Genomic DNA, 12,687 nt, shown 5'->3' with positions numbered 1-12,687 from the left:
GCATTACAATAAAATGACCATGTAGAAAATGGGTGAGGTTGGTATAGAGCACTAATTCAATACACAGGACCAAGGATTCTTTGGAATGTTTCTTCGTGTCGTGTGGTTGATTCTGGAGCTTCTAGCCACGCAAGTATGCCAGTTGATCATGGAGGAACATTAAATGGTCACAGAAGTATAATCTAAAATAATCTGCAAAATTGGTAATTGGTGTTGTTGCCTAGACTGGGATCTGGACCAGCAGTGTATCACAATGTAGTGAATGGTCACTGTTTGTTCAGCAAATTTCAACAATTTCTGTTGCGGGACAGTTAAGAAACAAAGACAGTATATGAATAACCATTCTATGTAGGTTTCTCTGCCTCAGGATTCAAAACACCCCTTCCCCTAACCATTCATGTCTATTTACTTATCTAAACAAAATCAAAAGAAGCCCTAATTATATAGGAATCCAGCCATCGATTGGAAAAATAAAAGAGATGGGACCATATTTTATGACAAGTTGTGGAAAAGGTTCCAGGATCAAATTGGGTAGGGTGTAAATATTCTTCACCCGTGGAACTGCTGTGGTTTCTTTTCTTTTAAAACCTGATTATCAGCCAGGTGCGGTGGCTCACGCCTGTAATCCCAGCACTTTGGGAGGCTGAGGTGGGTGGATCACCTGAGGTCAGGAGTTTGGAGACCAGCCCGGCCAACATGGTGAAACCCCATCTCTACTAAAAATACAAATAGTAGCCGGGTGTGGTGGCAGGTGCCTGTAATCCCAGCTACCCGTGATGCTGAGGCAGGAGAAGTGCTTGAACGTAGGAGGCGGAGGTTACAGTGAACCGAGATCATGCCACTGCACTCCAGCCTGGGGTACAAGAGTGAAACTCCGTCTCAAAAACAAAAAACAAAAAAAACCTGATTATCCAGGTTTTTCTTTGTTTTTATGAGCTTATACTTTCTATAGGTCCCATTTTTCTTGAGTTATTATGTGGAGTTGCTGTCTGGTTTGCAGGCAATATGCCTGAATGGTTACAATGCTAAATCGTATCTCTTGATTTTATAAAAGTTCAGTTTGAGAAACTGACAAAATACGACACTTGCCATATATTATAATGTATTCATTTTGTCTCTACTCCCCCATTAAAATACAAACTTCAGGGTGGTTTCTTGACTGTTGTTCTTAGCATCTGAAATGAAGCATGGCAAATAGTACACATTCAGTAACTAGTTATTAAATGAATGAAGAACTATGATATTTGACAGCATTACATGCAACTAAGCCTCATAAAGAAGGGAATTCACAAATGGATTCTCTTTAAAGTCTTCCTAATGTCTGTCTTTTTATTTCCTTTCTTCTTCCTTCCGTTGTGGGCTTTGTTTTGATCAGTGAAAGGGTGAGTATAAGAAGCTGCATTTTAAGTTTTCAGGAATCTAGTCATGCCTTTGGATAAAAATACCGTGGTCACACTTTTAGCTTTGATGAGAAAAGGGCCTCATTAGGTCATTTTGAGTCATTAGGCTCAATGTTAAAGCTACTCAGCGATGAGGGCATGAAAGACGTATAGTTGTTTGTTCACAGTGCTTGTCCTTAAATAGGCTCTTAAATGAGTTAATGAATGAATGAATGTTCAAGAACTCTTTAGAGACTTTGAAAAGATCGAGTGATTTTGAAATAACAGACTCTGGGATCTGGAACTTCTATATTCGCATGGAATAGAACTAGTTTCTTAGAATGTGGGTAGTCATTGCTTGAGCTTTCTACTAATATGTCCTGAGTCTCTGGCTGAGAAGAGTGGATAAAATGGTAGGTGAGGTAAAGAAAGAAAGTCACAATTCGTATACTACCTATAAAAGATTTATAAATGGCCATTGGCCCTAGATTCCTGGTTTCTGATTTCTTACTACCTACGATAGACTCCTGGTTTCTGATTTCTTACTACCTTGCATAGTATAAAAATAGCAAATTGAGGGGGTCAGAATGTTCAGTGGTTATTGGTTGACATTCACCTTTTTTCCTTCCCATTGAACCCATTCTGCTCTTTAATACTGCTTCTTTGCCCTTGGAAAGAAATCGCCAGTTTTACTTTATATTTCTCCCAATCAGTGGCATAGAAGTAGAGTTTATTAAAGCTCTAAGTAAGATTTGTTGAATTCTTTCAAATTAGAAGATTAGTCACTGTACTAGTGGAATTTGAAGTCAAGACTGAATCAAAGTGTTAACATTTTCATTACTGCACTAGAAAAGATGCATATTAATAGAATTTATAGAGCACATTAGATTTCCCTGTGTAGCAAACAATCTGGGAGACCCGAGAGCTTATGCTGCCTATAAGGAACTACGCTGAATGGGAAACTGGTATTTTCTATGACTGTTTTAACATTATTTTGATGTCATATCTAAAAGGGAAATTTTAGACTGTGCAGATAATTCAGCAATCTGCATGACTTTCAATACCAAAATAAAGGTACTATTTTAAAATACTGTGTAATTATGGAGCAGGCTTTAATGGAAGCCTTATTAAATTTACCCATTATTTGCTGTTGCTGAAAATATCTTTCCCAGGAATTCAGTGTTGCTATTCTAGGCAATAGTTTCATTGCTTCGCAGCTACTATTTGGAAGACAGGGAACAGGAATAATAATACTAGACTGATGTTTGTTTAAATAGTGGAGATTTGATTAATCCAGTACCCACTATAGATTATTGGTTGTGATGTTAGTTAAAAATGGGCATCATTTCTTCAAAGCCATAATCTTGACCCACTCCTGCAAATTCTTTTTTCTCCCTTCTCATTTATATTCAGTATTTATTCTAGAATCGTTACCCCATTTTCGGAATGCCAATAGCAGTGTGTTTAGAAACCGGGTCATGTTGTTTTTATAAGATAAACTGCATAATGTTCCTAAGCACAGAAAATAAAGCATTCTGGACTTTCAGACTGGGTGGATTGACAGTTTATTTCAGCAAATCTTGTACTTCTGGTAAAGGACAGTTCAGTGTTTCCCATCATATAGAAAATCTAGGAAAAATAGCAACAGCTACCATTTATTAAGTGCTTTTTATTTCCCAGGTACTATTACGTGCTTGATAATGCATTATCTCATTTAGTTAACATAACTTTCCTCTGAGAGAAGATACCATTACAATCTTGTTTTACTGATGAGAAAACTGAGGTTTAGAGAGGTTAAATAACCAGCTTGTTGTTTGATTCTCAGTGGAAGGTAGAGTAACAGTATTATTGTAGTTCTTATTCTATCCCATATGTTCTCGGCATTCAAGTTACAAAGCTGGATAAGGCATCTTTCAAGATACATACCTTCTAGTGAAGGGAGACAGGCATGTAAAATGGATATCCACAATGGTTAGTAGGATGTGAGTGATCTAAAATTTAGCCAGAGGATACAGCATTTCCAAAGTCTGCTAATGTAAGAGGAGTTTGGGAAACTAAAAACATACACATGTCAAGTTGCATCCTAGAAATAGAAGGTCATGGTGCTTAGTGCTTACTTACAGGAAATGAGGGAGGAGAAGGAGCCATATCTCTAGTTTGGGTGACAAGTTGGGTGAAAGTGGCGCCATCCACCAAGGTAGGAAATACGAGAAGAGGAACAAGTTTGGGGTGGGAGATGAATTAAATTTATACATAGAAAATTTGCAATGCATTGTGTGACATGGGTTGGGGGGAGAATGATGATGTCTAGTTGGTTTCAAGTAAGTAAAATACCATTTTAAACAAATTGTGAGACAGGAAGGTACTGTTTTTCAAAATTCCATTGCCCTTAGTGTGATGAATTCCATCAGGTTTATTGCCTGGGTTGGAAAATGGCTACTGCTGCAGGAGGCATCATATTTAAGCAGGAAGAAGTGCTGCACCTGTTCTTTATTTTCATTAAAGCAAAAGCTTCCCCTGGCCTCCTCATTCCTTCCCTAGCGGACTTCTGAGGCCTTACCAGCCAGAACTGATCAATATGGCTGCCTCTGGCTGCAAGAAAGGTTAGGAAAGCAAGTATTTATCTGGGCCTGTTGCTGCTTTGAAGAAAATTAGAATTATGTTAGCAAGGAGGCTGAAGGCATCTGAAGAGTTGTTAAATGAATAGTTAATTAAGCAGTGCCTCAACAAAGAAACCCATTACTACTTCTTGCTTCAAAACTAAAAAAATCAAAAGCTTAAATTTTAGATATCCAATGATGTTCAATTATAAATTTTGGGATGCATTAAAAACAATTTGGGCTGTAGACCTCAAAGTTGCGGGGAAAGAGTGGAATGAGGCGTACGGATAGTGTGATTGAAGGGGGGTCAGTAGGCAGCATAGAGAGATTTGGGGAAGAATTGACCAAATTTTGCGGTTGTGGTGGACAAAGGAGGCAGAGCAAAGGGGTGTGACCCTCAGGCTTTTGGGTTGGGTAGTGAATAGCAGTAAGCAGCACAATATGACTATGATAATGACTAGTGTTTTTGTGCCTTCCAAGACTTTTTGGTAAACTTCCAAAAGGAGAAAAATGATGTATTTTAAAATTTCAGTCTCTCTTATAAATACTGATTATGTTATTAAGTAAATTTGACCTGACTCCATCAGGTGAAGTTCCTGATTTTTAAAAGTATCATCAGTTTTTTTAACAGTTACATCCATATAGTATTGCAGGAAGTAGTTAGTTGTATGAAATACTATAGGTCAAAAGTAATTGGAAGCTGGGTCAGGTAGATGGTTAAAAAGTGTACTTACTGGTTGATGGCATTACACTGTACTCTGGTGGGGGCCCAAGATCCTTACTGTATGGAGTCCATCCTGCCCATGGCACTGTGGCAGTAAGACAATATGGATGTAGACCGCCTCACTCCTCCTTACAGTGATACTTTAATTAAAAATCATTATTATTATTATTATTATTTTTTTCCCCAAAGTGACAAGGTCTTACTCTGTTGCCCAAGCTGGAGTGTAGAGCTGTCATCATGGCTCACTGCAACCTCAAACTCCTGGGCTCAAGGGGTCCTCCTGCCTCAGCCTCCCAAGTAGCTGGGACTACAAGTGCATGCCACCCTGCCCAGCTAATTTTTAACATTTTTTTTATAGAGATGGGGTCTTGCTGTGTTGCCCAGACTTGTCTCGAACTCCTGGGCTTAAGCGATCTTCCCATCTCAGCGTCCCAAACCACTGGGATTAGAGGTGTGAGCTACCGTATCTGGCCAAACTTTTTTTTTTTTCTTTTTAATTTTAAAAAAGTGACATACGACATTATGTTTTTGTCATGTGCAACACAAATCTTTTGAAATACATATATTGGCTGGGTGTGGTGGCTCATGCCGTAATCCCAGCACTTCAGGAGGCCAAGGCAGGAGGATCTCTTGAGCCCAGGAGTTCAAGACTAGCCTGGACAACAGTGTGAGGGCCCGTCTCTACAAAAAGTTAAAAATTAGCTGGTCTTGCTGGGCAGCTACTTGGGAGGCTGAGTCAAGAGGATCTTTTGAACTTGGGGTTGGGGAGGTGGAGGTCAAGGCTGCAGTGAGCTATGATAACACTGCTGTACTCTAGCCTGGGCAACAAAGCAAGACCCTATCATATATATATCATATATCATATATATGTATCCATATATATGATGTGTGTATATATATATGATTATATATATGAGATGTATATATATATGATGTGTATGTATATATATGATGTATGTATACATATAGAGAGAGGAATGGTTGAATCTAGTGAATTAATAAATGCATTACCCCATAGTTACCATTTTGTGGTAAGAGCACATAACATCTACTCTACATTTTTCAAGAATATGCCATTTTTAACTTTAGTCAAATTGCTGTATAATTGATCTCTTGAAGTTTATTCTTTTTGTCTAACTGTAATTATGTATCCTTTGACCAACATTTACCCAGTAGTGGGATTGCTGGATCATATGGTGGTTATTTCTGTTTTAAATTTTTTTTTAGAAACCTTCATATTATTTTCAGTAATGGCCACCAACAGTGTGTTAAGGATTCTCTTTTCTCCATATTCTCAGCAGCACTTGTTGTCTTTTGTCTTTTTGATAATGTTCATACTGACTGGGGTGAGATAATATTTCATTGTGGTTTTGATTTTCCTGATGATTAGTGATGTCGAACATTCTTTCATAAACCCGTTGATATTTGCATGTCTTTTGAGAAATGTCTATTCAGGTCTTTTGCCATTTATTTATTTTTATTTAATTTTTAAATTGTTTATAGAGATGGGGTCTCCATATGTTGCCCAGGCTAGTCACAAACTCCTGGCCTAAAGCGATTCTCCAGCCTTCACCTTCTAAAATGTTAAGATTACAGGCATGAGCCACTGTGCCTGGCCATTTTGCCGATTTTAAATATTAGGTTATTTGATTTTTTGTTATTGAGTTGTCTTAAGTTCTTTTAGATATTATTTGTCAGATACATAATTTGCAAATATTTTCTCCTGTAGGTTATTGTTTTTCTCTGTTTATTGCTTTCTTTGCTGTGCAGAAGGTTTTGGTTTTATGTAATCCCATTTGTCTATTTTTGCTTTCGTTGCTTGTACTTTTTGAGGTCCTATCCAAAGAAAATCCTTGCCCAGATTGCTGTCAGGAAGTGTTCCTCTTGAGTTTTCTTTTAGTAATTTTCTAGTTTTGAGTCTTATGCTTAAGTCTTTAATCCATTTTTTTTGTTTAATTTTTGTATATGGTGAAAGATAAGGGTCTACTTTCATTTTTCTACATGTGAATATTCATTCTGTTTCCCCAAAACCATTTATTGAAGACACTGTTCTCTCCCCACTGTGTGTTCTTGGCACCTTTGTCAAAAATTAGTTGACTGTAAATGTGTAGATTTACTTTTGGGTTCTCTCTATTCTATTCCGTGTGTGTGTGTGTGTGTGTTTTGAGACAGTCTTGCTTCATCGGAGTGCAGTGCCACGATCTCTGCTCACAGCAACCTCTGCCTCCCTCCGCCTTTCAGATTCAAGCGATTCTCCTGCCTCAGCCTCCCGAGTAGCTGCGACTCCAGGCACATGGTACCACGCCCGACTAATTTTTGTATTTTTAGTAGAGACGGGGTTTCACCATGTTGGCCAGGCTGGTTTCGAACTCCTGACTTCGTGATCCGCCCGCCTCAGCCTCCCAAAGTGTTGGGATTACAGGTGTGAGCCACCGCACCCAGCAGGTCTTTGAGGGCTTTCACAAAAAAGTGTTCTCATACTTTTCTTTTTCTTGAAAAGTAGAAATTTGGCCGGGCACCTAATTACTTGTTTTTAAAACGGACAATATTATGTACTGTACAAAATAGTCAGATTTAAATGATACTGAGTGTGCCAGCAATGTAGAGTTTAATACTCATTTTATCACCTCTGATAAGAATGTTTAACCATTTCCGATCTCAATCTGTATGCATAAAACAAAGGGGATTGAATGAGACAGCTTTTCTTTAACTGTCCTATGATCAAAACAAGTTTTCCATGCTATTTAAATGATACTTTAGGCCGGGGGCCGTGGCTCGTGCCTGTAATCCCAGCACTTTTGGAGGCTGAGGTGGGTGGATCACCTGGGGTTAGGAGTTCTAGACCAGCCTGGCCAACGTGTCAAAACCCCACCTCTACTAAAAATACAAAAATTAGCTGAGCGTAGTGGCAGACGCCTGTAATCCCAGCTACTTGGGAAGCTGAGGTGGGAGAATTGCTTGAACCCGGGAGACGCAGGTTTTAGTGAGCCGAGGTGGTGCCACTGTACTTCAGCCTCGGCAACAGAGTCAGAGCCCCTCACAAAAAAAAAAAAAAAAAATATATATATATATATATATATATATATATATATTTGATTTTATATCTTTGTTGTCTTATTTCTTAGAAGGCAGGAGATATTTTCTTCTTCGTTTCAGGGCCTAGTTCTTATTTTTTAAAAGGCTTCAAAGGATCTTAGCAGTCAATCCAATAAACCCAGTCATTGCTTGTTGGTGGTGAGTCTTAAGAGGCTTAAGTTGTAGGCCTAAGACCACTGGCACCCTACAGGCAGAGTTGGGATGAGGACCCAGGTGCATTGTAAAAGGTTCCCTAAACCGTTTCTCTTTCTGTGAATAAATGACCTTGGTTTAATGTTTAGCTCTGACTCATCTGAAATCTAAAGTGAAATGTCAATATTAACAGCCACCATATAGGGTATGGCAAAGAGATTCCTGACACGTGAACTGCACCTGGTTTGGGAAGGTGTGATGCATTCTTAAAACAGCATATCCTTCGTGGATTGGGTGCCCTGGAAGATATGTCCAGGAGATGCTTATAAGATGATAGTGGGCCTGGCGCAGTGGCTGAAGCCTGTAATCTCAGCAGTTAGGGTGGCCTAGATGGGCAAATAACTTGAGGTCAGGAGTTCAAGACCAGCCTGGCCAGCATGGTGAAACCCAGGCTCAACCGATCCTCCCAGCTATTTTGTCTCTACTAAAAATACCCAAATTAGCCTGGCATGGTGGCATGCACCTGTAGTCCCAGCTACTCGGGAGGCTGAGGCAGGTGAATCGCTTGAACCCAGGAGGCAGAGGTTGCAGTGAGCCGAGATAGCGCCACTGCACTCCAGTCTGGGCAACAGAGAAAGGCTCTGTCTTTAAAAAAAAAAAAAAAAAATCAATCATAGTGGTTTCTCAGTGGAACTCAGGTGTGTCTAACCCAGGGTAACTTTTGTATCGTTTGTGGATTCTTTGCCCTTTGCATACCTACCTGAATAATGATATGGTGATGGTGATGATAGTAGGGAGAGGTGCAAAGACAATAGCTCCTGGATTGCATGTCCTCCTGTTGTGTGCCTGGCGTGATACTGCCCTGCTAGCCTGTCCTGTCCTGTAGCTTTCTCTGTAAACACATGCCAGGTGTGGCCTACTTAGGTTTTGTGAATTTGTCTAGTTGAGTCTGAGTTGTTAGAGCAGTTCCTTTCAACTGTTGATTTGCTTGACGTGAGATCAAGGGGGTGAAAATCATACACAACACATTTTTTTCCTCTTTGTTTGAAAGATATTTTCCTCTTCTGGACCCTATCTAGAAGAAGTATTCCTTAGACAATTTCCGGCTTCTTTTCTCTCATGAAGAGGAGGTAAGATTTTTGTTCTCACACTTATCTGCTTCCCAAAATATCCCCCCCGTTCTCATTAAGTTCTGACCACTCCTTCCTCTCATCTCATTTAATTCTTATTCATATCTAGAATTGTGTTTTAGGTACAATAGTAGGCATAAGTCACAGACATACTGTCATTTATTCCTGTGCATTTACAATAGAAGGTATTGAAAAAATTCAGCTTAGTGTCTTCATAGTTCTAGCTTTATGCATTTTCACAGACATTTATCCTTTGCCTCCTCTTTGTCTTCTGCTGAAGAATAGTGAACACAGTAGGGAAAAAAAAACCACAAAACCAAGACCAGGTGTTCTTAAGCAAAGAAGTTCTGGTTTGTGTTTTGTTATTTTTCCCTAGTCAGGTATTTTAAATTCGTAATGGTGGGTGTATAGCCCTAGATACATTGTAAGCTTTGCTGGATATTTACAAATTGTTGCCTAAACTGTAGAAGGGCTTAAGTCATTAGACATTCTATTTTAGTGACATTTTTCTGTTTTTCTGTATCATGTGTCTTGGAAAAACTTTGAAGTTCTTTGATGTTAATTTTGTAAGAATGTGTGTCTGAAAATATTTTGACTGAATAGACTCTGGGTTACAGTTAAGAATTTCTTTGATTTGGCACATCTTCTCTTTAGCATTTCATAGCTTTTATCATGGCCTGCATATACAACATGTCAATTATAATGCCTGATAGGTCTCCTAGGAGTTGTAGCTTCACAATATATAGGAGGCATCAGGCACAAATCGATACTGCAGAGAAAAAATTAGAGTAACTAAAACATAAATGACGTATTTTGTGAATAAGGAAGTGTTCTAGGTATGCCTTCCAGTAGTAAGCGGACAACACCAAGATATAAGGCACGTCTTCATACATCATTGTCTGTACACAGAACATCGAGCATACAGGAAGCTTCCTGAGTATCTTGCTGTCTCTCAATTGAAATACAAACCAACTCTGGCTCTGACCATCCTACTTTAATATTGCAACCCAGGGGTTCCTCTTTCACCTCTCTTCCCCCCAACTTCTGAATCCCTTTACCCTGCTTGGACTTTTTCTTTTTTCATAGCATTTATGATTGTAACATTACTTATTAATCAAAATTCTGCTGGAATTTAAACTGTGAGAGAGCAGGGATCTGTGTTTTATTTACTGATGTATTTTAGTAAGTTTTGTCCCCAGTGGGTGAATTAATAGTAACTCGATGTAAAGGGCTAACTTTTAATGTTAACAATCTCTAGTAGAAAGGTTAATTACAATTTGTTTTTTCTTCCTTCTTCCTTTCTTTCCCCACCTCTTCTTTCTTCCCATAGTTCTGTTGTCTACTGCAGGACAAATCTTACAATCATCCCAAAATACAAAAACAAAACAACCTTCTGTTTAGTCTTGGAGGTAAACATAGGCTTTAAATTACATTTCTTCCTATTCTCTTAAAGGGGACTTGCTTGATAGTTTGTATTTTCTTGAGTAACTAATGCATTTCTAATGGAGAGAGTTCATTTAGTGTGCAGGTTCTTTGTTTCTGATTGAATGTTTGGTTGCTTTCATATTCAGTTTATGTTCAATTAAAAAATTGGGAAAAGGTATGAAATTGACAATTTTAAATGTAATTTTGTTTATATATTAACTTGTTTTTAAAAATTAATTACAAATATACAATTTACTTGTTTTTTCCCCATATTTATCTGTGAATTAGATTATGATTTAGGATTGTTAGAAAATGTGAAAAGAAAACATGTTTGACAATAACATTTTCATCTCTATTATAGAAGTGATTTTTGGTATCCAGATATCCTTATCCCATCAAAAAGCTAAAATGCAAGCTCATTTTCTGTTAATTTTTAAGATGGGCATAACATTTCTTCTCATCGCTGCTTGGTGAACATTAGCTAGTATTGCCACAACTTATGGCCAGTGTTTTCTGTTTCTTCCTTCCTTCTATTTGCTCTGGCAAAGAGGACGCATTTCCAGGACCAGTCTCAGCTAGCCCAGTGTCTTTATTGTCTGTTTCTTTGTTGTTTGCATTAATAAAAATACCATTAGTATTTTTTAAACTCATGGAAATTCATAATTCAAACAATTTTTTTGCTTAGGGAGTTGATTCTTTTTGTTCTTTTAATACTATACTATTTTTAACCTTTTTGCTCCCTTTTAAACTATACATGCAGTTATAATTAACTGATATTAGTATTACTTCTGTGCGAAAATGCCTTTAGGCATTCAATAGGATTATAAATCCTAGTTTATTTTCTTTACAATAAGCCAAACACTATGTTCATACTTGTTATCAAGCTGTCTAATACACTATATAGATGAAGACACTGAGGGCTTGCTTACAGTTGTATGGATATGATGTGAAAGAGCTGAGTTTTTAAACAGAACAGAAAGCCTTATTCTTTCCATTCTTACCCCCACTGTCTTTTAAGTTTCTAAAGATGGCAGAGGAATGTTGAAGTTTAATACTTATAATTTTCTTAATGAACTTCATTATTATATATAGGGCCACATAAGATACTATGTTTGAATTCCTTAGAAAATTTCCTTTTCATAGAATGGTTATATATTTTTAGTAGGCAGTGTTTAAATAGTAAGTGTTTTTGCTTGGTCTGTTAATTTATTTGATTTAAAAAAATGTTTACCTCATTTAACCTAAAAGCTTCTTTGCTTTATCCTGGATCTGTAGAAATTTGGATGGTTCTGGGAATTGCTTCAGAGTCAACAAACTATGACCTGTGGACCATATCTGGTGTGTTATCTTTTTTTTTTTTGAATAAAGTTTTATTAGAAAGAGTAATGCCCATTCATTTTTTAATGTATTGTCTGTGGCTACTTTGCTGTATAATAGCAGAGTTGAGTAGTAGTGACAGAGACCAAATGGCCTGCAAAATAAAAAAATATCTGCTAACTGGCCATAGTTTGCCTTAGACCATTGCGTGCCAATGACTGAGAAGTAAGATGGAGTAGTTGTATTCAGATAATCTCAGTTGGTGTTTTATTATCGTAACTTGGGTGCTGGGCACAGAGAGGAGTTTTCTGTATTGAAATATATATAATATATGAGATCTTAAGAAAGGTAGTTTCGTTTCATGATCCCCGGATGGTGTATCTATGTGTGTGTGAACCAGAAGTGGCTCCTTGAATGGGTCAGGCAGATAACACAGCTTGTGTTTGCTGGTTCGAATGTATCATTTTAAGTTTGGTGAACAAGTTAAATTGAAAGCATTTTGGCAAACCAACACCGGATGAGAACTTGGCATTCTCCAGAATTAAGAATATTCCACTAAAAAAACCCCCATACAACCTTGATTTCATAAATGAATGTATTTCTGGCAGCTATTTTGATTGGAATGTGGTAGTTAAATGAAATATTTGTTTTAATTTACTGAAGGAAAAGCATTTGCTGATACTGTCTAGATTATGCCAACTTTCAAAATATGAAATTAAAGAAACCAATTTGAAAACTTTTTTTCACGTGAATCTGTAAGGAAATGTTTTCTGTAAGGACACATAAGAGCGACTCTTTGAGTTCATCAGTAGTGGATAAATAGAAACATAACATTTCAGAATTCTGAACCTAATATCTAGTTTAATGTAAGTGTGTATATTTTT

The 12,687-nt window shown here is 37.6% G+C and overlaps 1 protein-coding gene across 14 annotated transcripts in view; it reads left to right on the top strand.

Moving 5' to 3' along the window:
• Window positions 1–12,687, top strand: part of TBL1XR1 (TBL1X/Y related 1) — a 182,457-nt gene that overhangs the window by 81,931 nt on the left and 87,839 nt on the right. Inside the window, exon 2 of one of the 14 annotated variants that reach the window (XM_047448941.1) lies at window positions 8,983–11,824. The exons of the other annotated variants lie outside the window; for them this stretch is intronic. Within the exon in view, the coding sequence (XP_047304897.1) occupies window positions 11,804–11,824 (21 nt within the window). The 5' untranslated portion in view covers window positions 8,983–11,803. The remainder of the gene's footprint in view (window positions 1–8,982; window positions 11,825–12,687) is intronic. 14 annotated transcript variants of the gene reach the window in all.

This window comes from Homo sapiens, chromosome 3 (genome assembly GCF_000001405.40).
Source record: "Homo sapiens chromosome 3, GRCh38.p14 Primary Assembly".
NCBI classification, from domain to species: domain Eukaryota; kingdom Metazoa; phylum Chordata; class Mammalia; order Primates; family Hominidae; genus Homo; species Homo sapiens.
The sequence above is the reverse complement of the archived record's forward strand: the minus strand, read 5'-3'. Positions and strand labels throughout refer to the sequence as shown.